The sequence below is a fragment of the Homo sapiens genome, chromosome 1, assembly GCF_000001405.40.
Source record: "Homo sapiens chromosome 1, GRCh38.p14 Primary Assembly".
Taxonomy (NCBI): Eukaryota; Metazoa; Chordata; class Mammalia; order Primates; family Hominidae; genus Homo; species Homo sapiens.
The window spans coordinates 205132283-205148077 of record NC_000001.11 but is presented as its reverse complement, the minus strand read 5'-3'; the positions used below and the strand labels follow the sequence as shown (position 1 = coordinate 205148077).

Here is a 15795-nt window from a genome sequence, read left to right as displayed (position 1 = left end):
TGTCATGAATCCAGAAAAGATATTTAAGTCAACCTTTGCTTCAAGTCAACTCTCTATTGAACTATCTCGAAAAGTCTTTTTTAAAAAATGTCCGATTCTTCAACTTCATATGCTAATGTGTTCCAGTTTTTCTTTTCTTTTTCTTTCTTTCTTTTTTTTTTTAATTGCTCTTACTGTTAGGTTCTAACCTAGATGTTTGCAATCGAAGTCAAAACTCCTTGCATTCTTAGTATTCTGAGCCCCACTGGGAAGTCAGCCTTTGAGCTGGTCATGCCTCTTTGTTGTGCTGGGTCCCTCTCACTGTGATCTTGTTTCCATGCTCCTTTCTCTAGGGGCTCGCCCAGAACGTCTTCCTGTGTTTGATGAGGAGTGCTGGCAGTTGATGGAAGCCTGTTGGGATGGCGACCCCTTGAAGAGGCCTCTCTTGGGCATTGTCCAGCCCATGCTCCAGGGCATCATGAATCGGCTCTGCAAGTCCAATTCTGAGCAGCCAAACAGAGGACTAGATGATTCTACTTGAAAGCAAAGACCTTTCTCTTTCACTCTCTAGTTATTTCCTTCCCCCTCACCTTTTGGCCATGGGGAGAATTTGACATTTATTCACTATAGGACACACTCCCAAGGGAACTGGTGCTTGCTGGGAAACTTGGAACCTTCCCAGGCAGGGATGACTCCTGGACAGTGAAGAGTTGAATGACTGAGCATATTCAGCAGCTCACTGAAGCGCCAAGCTATCCCTTTAGCAAAAAAGTGTCTCAGATGTGTAAAAGCTGAGGAATGTGGTGTTCTGGCTTCACAAATGAAAAGGAGGCAGATGTTACCATTGTCTTTTCACTGTATATACTTCTAAGACAGCAAGCGGGACACTGCAGTGGCAATAGTGTTAAAAAATCTCATTCTCATGATTTTTGGCTCTAGCTAGGAATAGTTTAGTCAGGACTCAGAAAATTTGAGCTTAGTTCTGGGATTATGAAAACATGGGGACAAAAACAATAACTTGTGGATGTCTGGTTCCTGCTGTCTGCAGCCAGGTATCTCAGGTTGCAATGGTCAGAAGTCCCAGTGAGGGAGCTAGAAACAGAGCTATCTGTTCCTCATAGTGCCAGTGTGTTTACATTTATAGGACCACATATCCCTGGTTTCTGGGGGAGGGTTTCACTGTTACATCACCAAGAGGCCCTGAAAAGAGGAAAAAAAAAAAAAAAGAGGCCAGGCATGGTGGCTCACGCCTGTAATCTCAGCACTTTGGGAGGCTGAGGCGGGCGGATCACAAGGTCCAGAGTTCAAGAGCAGCCTGGCCAACATGGTGAAACCCCGTCTCTACTAAAGATACAAAAAATTAGCCGGGCGTGGTGGTGCATGCCTGTAATCCAAGATACTCAGGAGGCTGAGGCAGGAGAATCGCTTGAACCTGGGAGGCGGAGGTTGCAGTGAGCCGAGATCATGCCATTGCACTCCAGCCTGGGCGACAGAGTGAGACTCTGTCTCAAAAAAAAAAAAAAAATAGAATGTGTATGCATATATTTGTGTGTATATGTATATATGTGTGTGTGTCTATATCTCTATCTATATAGACATACACACAGGAGTTATTGGATTTAGAGTTACTGCTAACCCCAGAACAGAATCTGTTCTTTTACCTTTGAGTCTTTTCTTTTGTTTACCTCTTTTCATCTCAAAGTGGGAAAGCTCCAGATAACATGGTACTTAGGAGTGAGTGTCTAAGCAAAACCAACCCAATGCGAAGTATTTGGGTGAGAACTGAGAGGTGGGAGATGATTGGAGGCCATGGCCTATGTACAAACATACTGGAAGAAAACCAGCTTGTTTTTAAAACTTAACACAATCAGAAATTTTTCTTTTTGTGTTTGAATCTAACACACTGACGTTTGGAAAACTTGATCAATGAGCTTTTAACCACGATTTCTCCCGCAATTTGTTCCTTCTTTTTACCTTTTTAAAAATCTGTTAGAAGAAAAAAAGCAGCAGACGAAAGAGAAAAACCCTCCTCTGGTAGTTCTGTGTGTGCCCCTCACCCCTGTGTGCTAGTGTCTGGGAAGTTTCCCTGAAAGGTGGGAGGCGGGTGGGTGGTCTTTTGGAGGGTTCCTCATGAAGTGTGCTTGAGGAAAGAAATTCTGATTCTAGGCAGAGGAAGGGGAACAATTTAAATATTGGTGCATCTCAGATGCACTTGACTTCAAGCCTTCCTCAACCAAACTGGTCCATTAGATTCCGAAAAACAGGTAGACGAGGAAGTAGACAGTGGAAGTGAGTAGTCTCCCTCCATCTGCCTAATCCCCAATAACTGTGGTCTGGCCCCTGTGTTCAGCCCGAGAGTTTGTAAAACAGGTCCCCAGGTAGGTGTATAAGATGAGTTGCAAATTAGCCGGGCATGCTGGCACGCACCAGTAATCCCAGCTACTTGGGAGGCTGAGGCAGGAGAATCACTTGAACCCGGGAGGCAGAGGTCATGGTGAGCCGAGATCACGCCACTGCACTCCAGCCTGGGCAACAGAGCGAGACTCTATCTCAAAAAAAAACAAAAAAAAAAACAAAAAACAAAGATGAGTCGCACATCTGCTGCTGGGATTTTCTAGGGTTGTCTATGACAGAATGACCATCTTTTAAATATTAATGGAGTATAAATGGAGTCTATAATGGGTCTTTCATATAACTTTTAACTCTTTGGCTATCCTGGGCTCTGATCATGATATGTTTGAGCATAGTAGCTCCCTAAACTCTTGGAGCCTTTCAGAAATTCCATGTAGTGCTAATAACCTTTTTACTTGCAAATGATAAAGTAACTGACTCAGTGTCTTTGGGCTCTGCAGGCTTTAGCCTTGTTTTGGTAGGATGTTCAGTATATTCTCAGAATTTTTACCACCTATTTAGCTATACTTCAAGTACTCTATTCTCTGCACTAACTTACTGTCCTTCTGGGAACTATGATGGGGCTTCAAGGGAGTCAGGTGTCAAGAAAGGAGGGGTAAGTACTCTCTACTTGCTGGAAAATCATTGTAAGTCTGTTGTGTATGAAATTTTAGGAAAAGTCTTATATAGTTCCCTTTCCAGACTGTTTTCTTTTGACTCTAACTATAATCATAAGTCTGTGCTTCCATTATGAAGGTCACATTCCTAGCATTCTTGGGAAGTATTAGCTCATACTCTCATTCACATATGGGAGGTTAGATTTTTTTCCTCTACCCAGAGTCCCTTTTTAGTTTACCCCACGGCTTAGTTTGCTGTCAGATACCAGTTCTCTAGCAGATTCCCCAACAGTTTTTTCCCCAGTGGGGAGGGTGGAAGGGAGGGACTGATATAAGTAAGGAGATGAGTAGTTGTGTTACAGTTCATTTTCTTTAAAAAAAAGTATTTTGAGAAAAGGTGCAAAATATTCTTGAAAGTCTCTAGGCCAGCCAAAGTCCACATATGGATATTTGGGGATGTTATTTAAATACTCAGCAGGCTGAGTGCAGGTATACGTGTGTATAGAGTGTGTATACTTTGCTTTTGTTTTATAACATTGTCAGCTAATTTTGGCTTTGTTCTTTGGCATCCATTCTTATTATAAGTGATGGAATGCCATGAAATGTACTGTATTGTATATTACTTGGGAGGACACTAGGTTTTCAAAGAAGTCTGGCAGCACTTGGGTTATAGAGGGCTCAGCATGACCAAAGTCCTAAAGATTTTACCTCCCAGCTTTGGTTGTATGTGTTCCCAAGTGGTGAGGTGAGATTGTGGCTGGAGGAAGAAAAAGGATGGCATGAAAGAATGACCCTTATTGTGGTCTGTCCTTCTAATCAACATAATTAGGGCAGCTTACCCCAACATGAAAATGATGACCTGGCCATTTTTAATGGCCAGAGCTTGAAGTCTGGTCTCTCATTTTGTTTCAGAAATGAGTGAGAGGCCTTCCTGCAGAGCAGTCAGGAGAAATGGTGGAGCCTGGGGCCCTGGAATGGCTGACCCTGTGCCTAGAGAGCTGATGGCAAGGGCTGTCTGGCATGGCTCATTTGGGTGGGGTTTCCCCAGGCATACCTTAGTTCCCTGATCCTCTGCAAAGAGTAGCTCATTGACTGAGCAAGCGCTTCAGGAGGACTGTGCTGGTTGTTCCCAGACCAAAGAGAGTCACTTTTGACTCCATCAACTTCAAGGGGACAGAGCCTAGGCAGCAGATTCTCCTAATTTTTAACACTAAAATTCAAGGAAGCAGTGGAGGAAAGAATGCATTACTACCACAGATAGAAATAGGGGACTCATAGAACTCTCGACTAGTACCTGTCAGCTCTCAAATGCATTCTTGTGTCTTTGCTTGAGCTGCCAAAGAAGGGTCACAAAGTGTTCTTCCTCATGGAAGAAGTGCCTCGGGGTTGCAGGGCTGCAAAGTGACAACTGCACTGAATGACACTTTATTTTTTGGCTTTGGCTTATTATTTAGCACTGGGAGGCCCAGGGGAATTGGTGATTACAGTAGCACTTTGGGAAGTTAAAGCCCCCTTTGGGCTTGCTTTGGAGAGATGATGGCATGCTTGGTATTCCATTTGGATAATCAGGAAGCCTCCCTAGTCCATCCATATTGTGTCAGAGTGGGATTAACAACCCTGGAAGAGTCCACTGCCAAAAGAGTAGTTGCTTTCCTGGAATTTCCAAAGCTTTTGGATTTTCTGGATCAAGTAACCCACTTTTTAAAACCTGAGGTCAGGAGTTCGAGACCAGCCTGGTAACATGGTGAAACCCCGTCTCTATTAAAAATAGAAAAAATTAGCCAGGCATGGTGGCGGGCACCTATAGTCCCAGCTACTCAGGAGGCTGAGGTAGGAGAATTGCTTGAACCCAGGAGACAGAGGCTGCATTGAGCCAAGATCACACCACTGCACTCCAGCCTGGGCAGCAGAGCAAGACTCCATCTCAAAAAAAAAAAAAAGAAAAAGAAAAAGAAGGTTAATCCTTCAGTTATGGAGGTGGGATGAATAGAGCTTGTTTGATGTTAAAGTGGGTAAGGAGGGAGTGGCCTTGAGACACTTGTATTCCAAACTCTCCTGGAGGTTTCCAGTAGCACTACTGTTCCTAAAAGGGTTTCATTTTTAACTTCATCTGTTTTGTTAACATCCAGTCCAATTGAGGTGATCTCAGAGGTGCATCAGGACATCTAGCACTGGGGAGGCCACCTTGCCCAGATAGTTGAAAAGAAAATTGGTCTGGGCAGCCTGTTGTCTTTTGTCTTCATGTAATGTTTTTTCTTTGTTTTAAAGGACTAATGTTTATTACAGTGTTAAATAAAAGTGTAAGATACTAAGTGTGTAGAATAAAAGTGCAATAACAAAAGACAATGACTTTGGCACACACTTCAGTCTTTATCCTCTCTCCTTTCTTGTGCTACCTGGCTCTTTCCATAATATTGTTACAGCAGGACCGTCTTAATTGTGTGCATTTTGAAGAGATGCGACTCTGGGTTAATCTTCATTAGTGTAATATTGAAGGGTTGGGTTTGGTTTTATAGAGTATTCTGTATACTTGTTGGGATACACAAATACCAGATGTGCTGTATAATAAAGATCACATTAACGTTTTAGGTTTCTATCTGTTTGGTTTTGGTTTTCCCTTACCTCACTACCCATAGTAACAGGACGTTCCCTAATCCATTCCATTTCCACTGGTGACCTTCAGTCAGATGTCTTTCAGTTTGCCTTAGGAGAGATGGATGGAACATGTTCCTCTCCCATCAGGGGCCCTCCCCAGCCACCATGGCTCTTGGCCTCTGGGTACTTTACATCATCACTACTGAAGGGTGGGGCAAGGGAATGGGAGATAGGATAGTGGAGAAAAGGGGTGAGATGATAGTCATGTATCTTCCAGAGCCTATCCTGGGTGACATGCTTTTTTCCAGCTTCTTTTAAGCACGAACCTGCAGCATTGTGAGTTCATATATGAGCCTAGCTACTCTATTATAATACATGGTGAGGGAACTGGGCACATAATCTTACGCTGGCCTATCTGCATGTAGTGTATTTTGCATTTTCTATTTAGGCTCACCCCAGTGCTGAGATTTGCTTGCTCAGCAGTGCCTGACAGGCACCACCATGGGCCACCGCCAAGAGACAGGCACCACTTCTAGTCACCAGGGAAGGTCAGCGTGCAGCACGAGGTGCGTTTGCTTTGGTTTGTTTTTTGTTATCATACCATGTCCGGCTTGTGTGGCTGTCATTTTTTGCTGTAAGTACTTTTGGTTTGACTGCAACACAAGGTTAGCCAGCAGATGGCAGCACATCTTAAATAGCTGGTGTAGTCCTGCTCCTTGAGGTTGATCTCGCTGGTTCTCAGCCTATACCGACACAGTATTCATTTAATGCAACTGAAGCCGGTTAGCTCAGTTAGTTAATGCTAATAATGCAGATAAGCCTTATTTTATTTTATTTTTTATTTTGGAGACAGTGTCTTGCTCTTGCTGTTGCCCCAGCTGGAGTGCAGTGGCACAAACATAGCTCACGGTAGCCTTGACCTCCTGGGCTCAAGCAATCTTCCTGCTTCAACCTCCTGAGTATCTGGACCACAGATGCATGCCATCGTGCCTGGCTGTTTTTGTTTGTTTAAGGACAGGGTCTGGCTATGTTGCCCAGGCTGGTCTCAAACTCCTGGGCTCAAGCAATACTGCCTCAGCCTCCCAAAGTGCTGGGATTATAAGTGTGAGCCATGCACCCAGCCCAGATAAGCCTCTTAACACTTGTGAAACTCTCTAGTAACTCCAGCCACACTTCATAGTTAAATATATCCCATCTTATATGCATATGCCCTGTATTTTCCTAGGAAGTTCAGTGTGACGGAGTTCTCTTAACCTCTTCCTTTGCCCTTATTACTTTGGAAAAAAATAGCTTGTGGTATACACATTTTCAGATTGGGTATGCTTTTTCAAGAACACATCCCTCAGTAGGTATGTGCCCTGAGTAGGGCAACTTGAGTGGCCTTCCTGATCCTTTATTTCGGTGGAGTTCAGGCTTCTGAACATTATTAAATTCAACCTCAAAATTTCTGTCTTTAGCAGAATCCCAAGGAGTCCATGAAGTGCTAACTGAATAACCTCCTTTGGAGTGCAGTTACTACGGGGAGACACACACTGATTGAGGCCTCTTGTGGCCCTTCTAGGGAGAGTCTATTCCTTGGTATATTTTATTTTCATTTTTATTTTTTTGAGATAGAGTCTCACTCTCCCAGGCTGTAGTGCAATGGTGTGATCTCAGCTCACTGCAACCTCCGCCTCCCAGGTTCAAGCTGTTCTCCTGCCTCAGCCTCCTGAGTAGCTGGGATTACAGGCACGCACCACCATGCCCAGCTAATTTTTGTATTTTTAGTAGAGACAGGGTTTCGCCACGTTGGCCAGGCTGGTCTCGAACTCCTGACCTCAGGTGATCTGGCCTCCCAAAGCGTTGGGATTACATGCATGAACCAGCACTCCTGGCCCCCTTGGTATATTTTGAAGTTAGCATTTCAAATCCATGAAAAAAATAGATTAGTCAGTAAAGTTGGCTATCCCCTTGTTTTAGTCTTTTCCTGCTACTATAACAAAATACCACAGACCAGGTAATTTATAAATAACAAATTTATTCCTCATAGTTTTGGGAGCTGGGAAGTTCATGATTGAGGTGCCAGCAGGGTCACTATCTGGTAAGAACTGCTCTGTGCTTCCAAGATGGCACCTTGTTGCTGCGTCCCTCAGGAGACTAACGCTGTCCTCACATGGCAGAAGAGATGGAAGAACTAGGCAGCCCTCTGAGCCTCTTTATAGTGCCATTAATCCTATCCGTGAGGGCTAAGCCCGCATGGCCTAATCACCTCCCAAAGGCCCCACCTCTTAATAGCTTGGGGTTTGAGTTCCAACATAGGAATTCTGGAGGGACACATGCATTCAAATCATATCACCACCTGAGGAAAAAAATACTTAAATCATCATGTGAAAAAAAAGTCCAGGTCTGGGAGAGATGTAAATGTAAAAACACAAAACAAAAAAACAAAACTGTAGGCTGGGCACAGTGGCTTGTCCGGGCACGGTGGCTCATGCCTGTAATCCTAGTACTTTCAGAGGCTGAGGTGGGCAGATCACCTGAGATCAGGAGTTTGAGACTAGCCTGGCCAATATGGTGTCTACTAAAAATACAAACATTAGCCAGGTGTGGTGGTGCATGCCTGTGACCCCAGCTACTGGGGAGGCTAAGGCAGGAGGAGAATCACTTGAACCTGGGAGGCAGAGGCTGCAGTGAGCTGATCATGCCACTGCACTCCAGCCTGAGCAACAGAGCAAGACTCCATCTCAAACAACAAAAAAAGAATATATATAACATAACCCATTTTTTGGTAAAAATCCCTTTGTTCCCCATAACCCCAAATTATCTAGAGATTTAGTCCATCTGGCCAGGAGCAGTGGCTCATGCCTGTAATCCCAGCACTTTGGGAGGCTGAGGCGGGTGGATCTCAAGGTCAGGAGATCAAGACCATCCTGGCTAACACAGTGAAACCCTGTCTCTACTAAAAATACAAAAAATTAGCCAGGCGTGGTGGCGGGTGCCTGTAGTCCCAGCTACTTGGGAGGCTGAGGCAGGAGAATGGTGTGAACCTGGGAGGCGGAGCTTGCAGTGAGCTGAGACTGCGCCACTGCACTCTAGCCTGGGTGACAGAGCAAGACTCCGTCTCAAAAAAAAGAGAGAGATTTAGCCCATCTGCATGTATAGTGCACAGAAAAAAAAATTTGTAAATGTATAAATCAAACTGATAATAGTGATTTTCCTAAAGAGGCAACTTCCAACTTTTAGAGTATGGAATTTCTGTTACTGTATTGTTTATCTGCTATGAACATCTAGAAAATGAATCCTGGCTAATTTAGGAGGAAGGAAATATGTATTGGAAAAATACTAGTGCCTCAAAAAATCAACAACTAGAACTGGAAGATCAGACTCACAGAATCAGTAGGCAGGACCGGTAGCAGGAACAGCCACAGACAAACCCCTCAGACACCGAGTTAAAGAAGGAAGGGGTTTATTCGGCCGGGAGCATCGGCAAGACTCCTGTCTCAAGAGCCGAGCTCCCCGAGTGAGCAATTCCTGTCCCTTTTAAGGGCTCACAACTCTAAGGGGGTCCACGTGAGAGGGTCGTGATCGATTGAGCAAGCAGGGGGTACGTGACTGGGGGCTGCATACACCGGTAATTAGAAAGGAACTGAACAGGACAGGATCTTCACAGTGCCTTTTTTATGCAAATAACCAATTAGGTCAGGGGTCGATCTTTAACTGCCAGGCCCAGGGTGTGGCGCCAGGCTGTCTGCTTGTGGATTTCATTTCTGCCTTTTAGTTTTTACTTCTTCTTTCTTTGGAGGCAGAAATTGGGCACAAGACAATATGAGGGGTGGTCTCCTCCCTTAGAACCAGAGCAGCTTTGCAAGCTTTTGCAAAGGCCTGTCTAAGGCTATGATGAACCATCTTTACTCCCTCATGAGTTAGCAGCCAGGGCGCGTTTTCTCGACTGGCCCAGCATAGGTCCCAGGCCCATCTTCTAGCTTTACTGGTTCAGAACTGGAAGGATCTGTCCCCTTCAGATTCCATGATGGGAGGCAGGCACCTAAATTTGCCTGCTCACTAAAAATTACATTCATTGGAGGAGATATAACTCCTGAAAAGTAATCAAGCAGCAGTTAGAAAAGGGACCTAAATTCAGGACAGGTGCCAGGTGACACATGGTCGCTACAGTTCACCTCTTGGGCTCCTTGACCTCCACAGCCACCCTTCTGGCACTACTGGGAGGCAAGGTCGTGAAAGAAGATTGACAGATTGGGGCCTGACACAGAGAGGCCACAACTTGGTCTCTGGGAAGGACATTTCTAAATCTCTGGAGTATTTTTCAACCTATGAAGACTGCCTTGGCTTCTATTTCCTCTCTCTTTCCTTCGTCCCTTATTTTCTCAGCATGGCTTCCCCATGAATCACAAAGACCCTCAAGCATCTAGGTAAAGGCTAACTCAGAGCCTTTCTATGTGTGGAAGCAGGAGTTTAAGAGGCAAATGTCAGGCTCAATGTGAAGCCACTGGCTCTGAAAATAAGGGGAACTGCTCCAGGTTCTAAGCTGGGACCATAGAGAAACACGATGGTTAGTCTAAGACATTTTACTGAGCAGGATTTGCTTACAATTTTTAAAAATTATAGATACTGGCAAAGGAGTAGATGTAACATCCTCATATATTTTGATGCGGCCGGGTGTGATGGCTCATGCCTGTAATCCCAGCACTTTGGGAGGCCGAGGCGGGCAGATCATCTGAGGTCAGGAGTTCGAGACCAGCCTGGCCAACATGGCCAAACCCCATCTCTACTAAAAATACAAAAATTAGATGAGTGTGGTGGCGGGTGCCTGTAATCCCAGCTACTCAGGAGAATGAGGCAGGGAGAATTAATTTAACCCAGGAGGCAGAGGTTGCAGTGAGCTGACATTGCACCACTGCACTCCAGCCTGGGCAATAGGGTGAGACTCTGTCTTCAAAAAAAAAAAAATTGATGCAGAAGAACAATTTTTTTTTTTTTCTGGAGACGAAATCTCACTGTCGCCCAGGCTGGAGTGCAATGGTGCCATCTCGGCTCACTGCAACCTCCATCTTCCAGGTTCAAGTGATTCTCATGCCTCAGCCTCCCGAGTAGCTGGGATTACAGGCATGCACCACCATGCCTGGCTAACTTTTGTATTTTTAGTAGAGATGGGGTTTTGCCATGTTGGCCAGGCTGGTCTCAAACTCCTGACCTCAGGTGATCCACCTGCCTTGGCCTCCCAAAGTGCTGAGATTACAGACATGAGCCACCATGCCCGGCCAAGAACAATTTTTAAAATGTGAATTTACTGTGCAATTTGTGGGCCAGAACACTGCCATGGTTTGGAAGCCCCTGTGTGATTTTCCCATATGCCAGTTCCGGCACCTCCCTGCCTTTCTCCCATCCGTAGGTTACTACTGTGTTGATCATTCTCTTTTTTTTTTCTTTTTTATTTGAGATGGATTCTTGCTTTGTCATCCAGGCTGGAGTGCAGTGGCATGATCTCGGCTCACTGCAACCTCTGCTTCCTGGGTTCAAGCAATTCTCCTGCCTCAGCCTCCTGAGTAGCTGGGATTACAGGTGCACACTACCTTGCCCAGCTAATTTTTGTATTGTTAGTAGAGACGAGGTTTCACCATGTTGGCCAGGCTGGTCTTGAACTCTTGACCTCGTGATCCACCCGCCTCGGCTTCCCAAAGTGCTGGGATTACATGTGTGAGCCACCACGTCTGGCCCATTCTCTTGTTTTTTTTTTTTAAGAAAAGTATTTCCAAATGTATGTGTAGCTCTAAACAATATATACGTTGGTTTTGCCTGTGTTTGTGCTTTATAAAAATGATATTATTTAGCCAGGCATTGTATGGTGTGTGCCTGTAGTCCTAGCTACGTGGGAGGCTGAAGTGGGAGGACTGACTGAGCCCAGGAGGTTGAGGTGAGTTTTACAGAGGTATGTTTTTAAATTTGCAAGTGTGGTCAGGCATGGTGGGTCACACCTGTAATCTCAGCACTTTGGCAGGCCAAGGTGGTAGGATCATTTGAGCTCAGAAGTACAAGACCAGCCTGGGTAAAATAGTGAGACCTGTCTCTACAAAAAATTTTAAAAATTTGCCAGCCAGGTGTGGTGGCTCACGTCTATAATCCCAGCACTTTGGGAGGCTGAGATGGGCAGATCACTTGAGGTCAGGAGTTCGAGACCAGCGTGGCCAACATGGTGAAACTCCGTCTCTACTAAAAATACAAAAATTAGCTGGGCGTGGTGGCAGGCGCCTGTAATCCCAGCTACTCAGGAGGCTATCAGTTTTAATTGAAAATATTAAACAGTTTACTCATAGTGAATTATAAAACTTTGATAGTTAATGGCTAGGCACAGTGGCTCATCCCTGTAATCCCAGCACTTTGGGAGGCTGAGGTGGGTGGATCCCTTGAGCCCAGGAGTTCAACACCAGCCTGGGCAACATGGTGAAACCCTGTATCTACTAAAAATACAAAACCTGTGGTCCCAGCTACAGGGAGGGAGGCTGAGGTGGGAGGATCGCTTGAGCCTGGGAGGTCGAGGCTACATGAGCCAAGATCTTGCCACTGCGCTACAGCCTGGGCAACAGAGCCAGACCCTGTCTCACACACACACATGCACACACTTCGATAGTTAAATTGTATTATAATTTGTAAGCCAACTATTCTTCATTATGAAAACTTTATAAAAACCTGAAAAAATGTTGCATACTTGTATTTTCTATTCTCCATTTCAGAGCAAGATAATAAAGAGAGGCTCTAAAATATTTATAAATCAAAACCCAATGGGATTAAAAATGAAATATAGAAAACCAGATCTACATACAGCTGTGCCAGAAAGCATTCGTGGCTTTTTTTTTTTTTTTTTTAGACAGAGTCTCTGTGGTCCAGGCTGGAGTGCAGTGGTATGATCTTGGCTCACTGCAACCTCTGCCTCCCAGGTTCAAGCAATTTTCCCATCTCAGCCTCTCTAGTAGCTGGGATTACAGGCACCCACCATCATGCCTGGCTAAACTTTTTTGTATTTTTGTAGAGATGGCGGGGGTGGGGGGGGGTCTCACCATGTTGGCAAGGCTGGTCTCAAACTCCTGGCCTCAGGTGATCCAGAGTGCTGGGATTAGAGGCATGAGCCACCATGCCTGGATGTATGAAGTGTTTTTTTTGGGGGGGGTTGGGGGGCACGGAGTCTCTCTCTGCCATCCAGGCTGGAGTGCAGTGGCACGATCTCAGCTCACTGCAACCTCTGCCTCCCAGGTTAAAGTGATTCTCCTGTCTCAGCCTCCCGAGTAGCTGGGACCATAAGCGTGTGTCACCACACCCAGCTAATTTTTTGTATTCTTAGTAGAGATGGGATTTCACCGTGTTAGCCAGGATGGTCGCGATCTCCTGACCTTTTGAACCGTCCGCCTTGGCCTCCTGAAGTGCTGGGATTACAGGTGTGAGCCACCGGGCCCAGCCTGCATGAGTGGCTTTTATCTGATGTTTTGGATCCATTTCACATGAAACAAAAACAGGTGTTATAGCAAAGCCAAACCAGGAAAACCCCAATAGAGTATTTTTAGCATGCCTCTTAATTTTTCTATCCCCAGCTTCTTGTTGGTTGTCTGTGATGAGTCTTGGACAAGTAACCTCTTGAGGGGATGCCACTGATGGATGGGCCACGGGTGAAGTGTCAGCAAATGTGAAAAAGCAAATCCAGCTATAACTATATAGACAGTTCATCTGCAATGTTCAGCCACATAACCGTAGATAAATCCAATGACTGAAGAAAAAATAATAATTCTCTGAAACATTTGTTCAACTAGCTTTTGTCCCTTGTAATCTATTCGTATGGGCAGCAAGCTCATATGCTCCAACATGACTGGCCATGGAGGCAGGTGGTGGAGCGCAGGCAGTGGGCAGCATGGTGAGGGTGGCTGCAACTCAGATCTGGGTCTGGGTCTGGGCCTTATACCACCACGCTTGGCTTTTGTTTTTTTTTTTTTTTTGAGTGGAGTTTTGCTCTTTTTGCCCAGGCTGGAGTGCAATGGTGCCATCTCGGCTCACTGCAACCTCTGCCTCCCAGATTCAAGTCATTCTTCTGCCTCAGCCTCCCGAGTAGCTGGGATTACAGGCACACACCACCACACCTGGCCTAATTTTTGTATTTTTAGTAGAGACAGGGTTTCACTATGTTGGCGAGGCTGGTGTCGAACTCCTGGCCTCAAGTGATCCGCCTGCCTAAGCCTCCCAAAGTGCTGGATTACAGGTGTGAGCCACTGCGCCAGGCCCTGTCTTGTCTTTTAAATAACATCTCCAAAGTGGCGATAGAAAAGAAATACCAACCTGTAAGTATATGCTTAGCTGATGTATACTCCAAGAATGAGGATAAAAATTAAAACATTTTTTAAAAATCAAAAGTTGAAATAATTTACAAACTGATTTTCATTAATACTCATGTAAAAGATGTATTTTAGGAAAAAGGAAACCATGAACCTAGAGAGGCCTGACATGCAGGAATGAATGGTAAGCGAAGAAAACAGTAAATGGATGGCTAAATCTAAACACACATTGGTTATATATTAAAAAAAATGTATAATGATATCAGGTCGGGCATGTAATGGGCCTGTAATCCCAGCACTTTGAGAGGCTGTGGCGGGAGGATCCCTTGAGGTCAGGAGTTCGAGACCAGCCTGACCAACATGGTGAAAACCTGTCTTTACTAAAAATACAAAAAAAATACAAAAACATTAGCCAAGCATGGAGGCGCATGCCTGTAATCTCAGCTACTCAGGGAGGCTGAGGCACGAGAATCACTTGAACTCAGGAGGCAGAGGCTGCAGTGAGCCAAGATTGTGCCACTGTACTCCAGCCTGGGCAACAGAGTGAAACTCTGTCTCGAGAAAACAAACAAACAAACAAACAAATAAATACATAAATAAAGCAATATGTATAATGATATCTAACTTCTGAGGCAAAAGAATCTCAGCCAAGAGGTTTTTCTTCCTTTTTTTAGAGATGGGGTTCTGCTCTGTTGACCAAAGCTGAGTGCAGTGGCATGATCATACCTCACTGCAGCCTTGAACTCTGGGGCTCAAATGAGGGGGTGAACTTTTGAAATATTGTAAGATCCCTATATTTTCAGAGAAGGATAAAGATACTGATTACCTTCAGATAAAACCACCTTTCCAAAATTATGACTGTAAGAAAAATCTGATATAGTTGACTCCATCTTGCTTTTAACATCCAAGCTGTCCTTGGTCATTCCAAGCCAACTTTGGGAGAAAGTTAGTTTATAGTTTAATCTTAAAGCAAGAATAATAATAGCCCTTCCCAGAACTAAACTGCCTTTGTAAAACTGATAAAAGCCCACAAGGTTAGAATAATGAGAGGGCTCTGGATTCTGCCAAGATTTAGGCATAATTAGCTGGGCACGGTGGCTCATGCCTGTAATCCCAGCACTTTGGGAGGCCAAGGTGGGCAGATCATGAGGTCAGGGGTTCGAGACCAGCCTGGCCAACATAGTGAAACCCTGTCTCTACTAAAAATACAAAATATTAGCCGAGCGTGATGGTGGGTGCCTGTAATCCCAGCTACTCGGGAGGCTGAGGCTGGAGAATCGCTTGAACCCGGGAGGCAGAGGTTGCAGTGAGCTGAGGTCGTGCTACTGCACTCTAGCCCAGGCAATAGTGCGAGATGCTGTCTCAAAAAATAAATAAATAAAAATAATAAACTCCCTTCTTTCCCAGTCTGTCTGCATCTTGTTATTGGACTGCGAGAACAAGCAGCCAGACTCCATTCTTTCTGGAACACTAGAGCACAGCAGGTCCCTCATGCCCTTGCTCTCTGTCCTAGTCCCTCAAGAAGACCTCAGGCAAGATGTAGACTGAGAAGCAGATGGATCAGGTGGATACAGCAGGGAGGACGCTGTCTGTGAACCAGAAGTTAGGCCCACACCAGACACTGAATCCATCAACACCTTGATCCTGGACTTCCAGACTCCAGAACTGTGAGAGATAATTTCCGTTGTTTAACTCAGCCACTCTATGGTATTGTGTTGTGGCAGTGGAGCTGACTTAAGACAGGGCCCGTTTCCCCACGGCCTGGACCCCCACTTACCCTTCTTGGTGCAGATGACACGGCAGCACTTGGGAGGCATGCCGGCCAGAGGTTGCTGCCTTGGGCTGTCTCCACTTCACCTAGGGGGTCAGGGATCTGAGGACCTGCCCAGGAAAGGGAGAAA

General features: G+C 45.2%; 1 protein-coding gene and 1 pseudogene across 8 annotated transcripts in view, besides 6 other annotated features; one reads left to right on the top strand and one right to left on the bottom strand.

The window, feature by feature from the left end:
- The window catches only part of DSTYK (dual serine/threonine and tyrosine protein kinase), a 69198-nt gene extending 63625 nt beyond the window's left edge, over positions 1-5573 (top strand). For all 8 annotated transcript variants that reach the window (XM_047417152.1, XM_011509394.3, XM_047417145.1 and 5 more), the window contains one exon: positions 333-5573. In XM_047417152.1, coding sequence (XP_047273108.1) covers positions 333-520 — 188 coding nt within the window. In that variant the 3' untranslated portion in view covers positions 521-5573. The remainder of the gene's footprint in view (positions 1-332) is intronic.
- Positions 6217-6361: an enhancer, noted in NCBI's record as "145 bp 1:205110917 sequence used in MPRA reporter constructs". NCBI's record gives its function as "activates a minimal TATA-containing promoter with rs3902193 allelic activity by MPRAs in UACC903 melanoma cells {active_cell/tissue: UACC903}" and the evidence as "EXISTENCE:reporter gene assay evidence [ECO:0000049][PMID:36423637]".
- Position 6289: a transcriptional cis regulatory region, noted in NCBI's record as "rs3902193 or 1:205110917 MPRA-significant variant associated with a GWAS melanoma risk locus at 1q32.1". NCBI's record gives its function as "allelic transcriptional activity by MPRAs in UACC903 melanoma cells {active_cell/tissue: UACC903}" and the evidence as "EXISTENCE:reporter gene assay evidence [ECO:0000049][PMID:36423637]".
- Positions 9702-10250: an enhancer, noted in NCBI's record as "OCT4-NANOG-H3K27ac hESC enhancer chr1:205106956-205107504 (GRCh37/hg19 assembly coordinates)". NCBI's record gives its function as "activates a minimal SCP1, AML or CMV promoter by ChIP-STARR-seq in naive H9 embryonic stem cells {active_cell/tissue: H9 hESC(naive)}" and the evidence as "EXISTENCE:reporter gene assay evidence [ECO:0000049][PMID:30033119]".
- LOC124904585 (signal peptidase complex subunit 1-like) lies at positions 9736-13432 on the bottom strand (annotated as a pseudogene).
- Positions 12584-12728: an enhancer, noted in NCBI's record as "145 bp 1:205104550 sequence used in MPRA reporter constructs". NCBI's record gives its function as "activates a minimal TATA-containing promoter with rs4330974 allelic activity by MPRAs in C283T melanocytes and UACC903 melanoma cells {active_cell/tissue: C283T | UACC903}" and the evidence as "EXISTENCE:reporter gene assay evidence [ECO:0000049][PMID:36423637]".
- Position 12656: a transcriptional cis regulatory region, noted in NCBI's record as "rs4330974 or 1:205104550 MPRA-significant variant associated with a GWAS melanoma risk locus at 1q32.1". NCBI's record gives its function as "allelic transcriptional activity by MPRAs in C283T melanocytes and UACC903 melanoma cells {active_cell/tissue: C283T | UACC903}" and the evidence as "EXISTENCE:reporter gene assay evidence [ECO:0000049][PMID:36423637]".
- Positions 15245-15745: an enhancer, noted in NCBI's record as "H3K27ac hESC enhancer chr1:205101461-205101961 (GRCh37/hg19 assembly coordinates)". NCBI's record gives its function as "activates a minimal SCP1, AML or CMV promoter by ChIP-STARR-seq in naive and primed H9 embryonic stem cells {active_cell/tissue: H9 hESC(naive and primed)}" and the evidence as "EXISTENCE:reporter gene assay evidence [ECO:0000049][PMID:30033119]".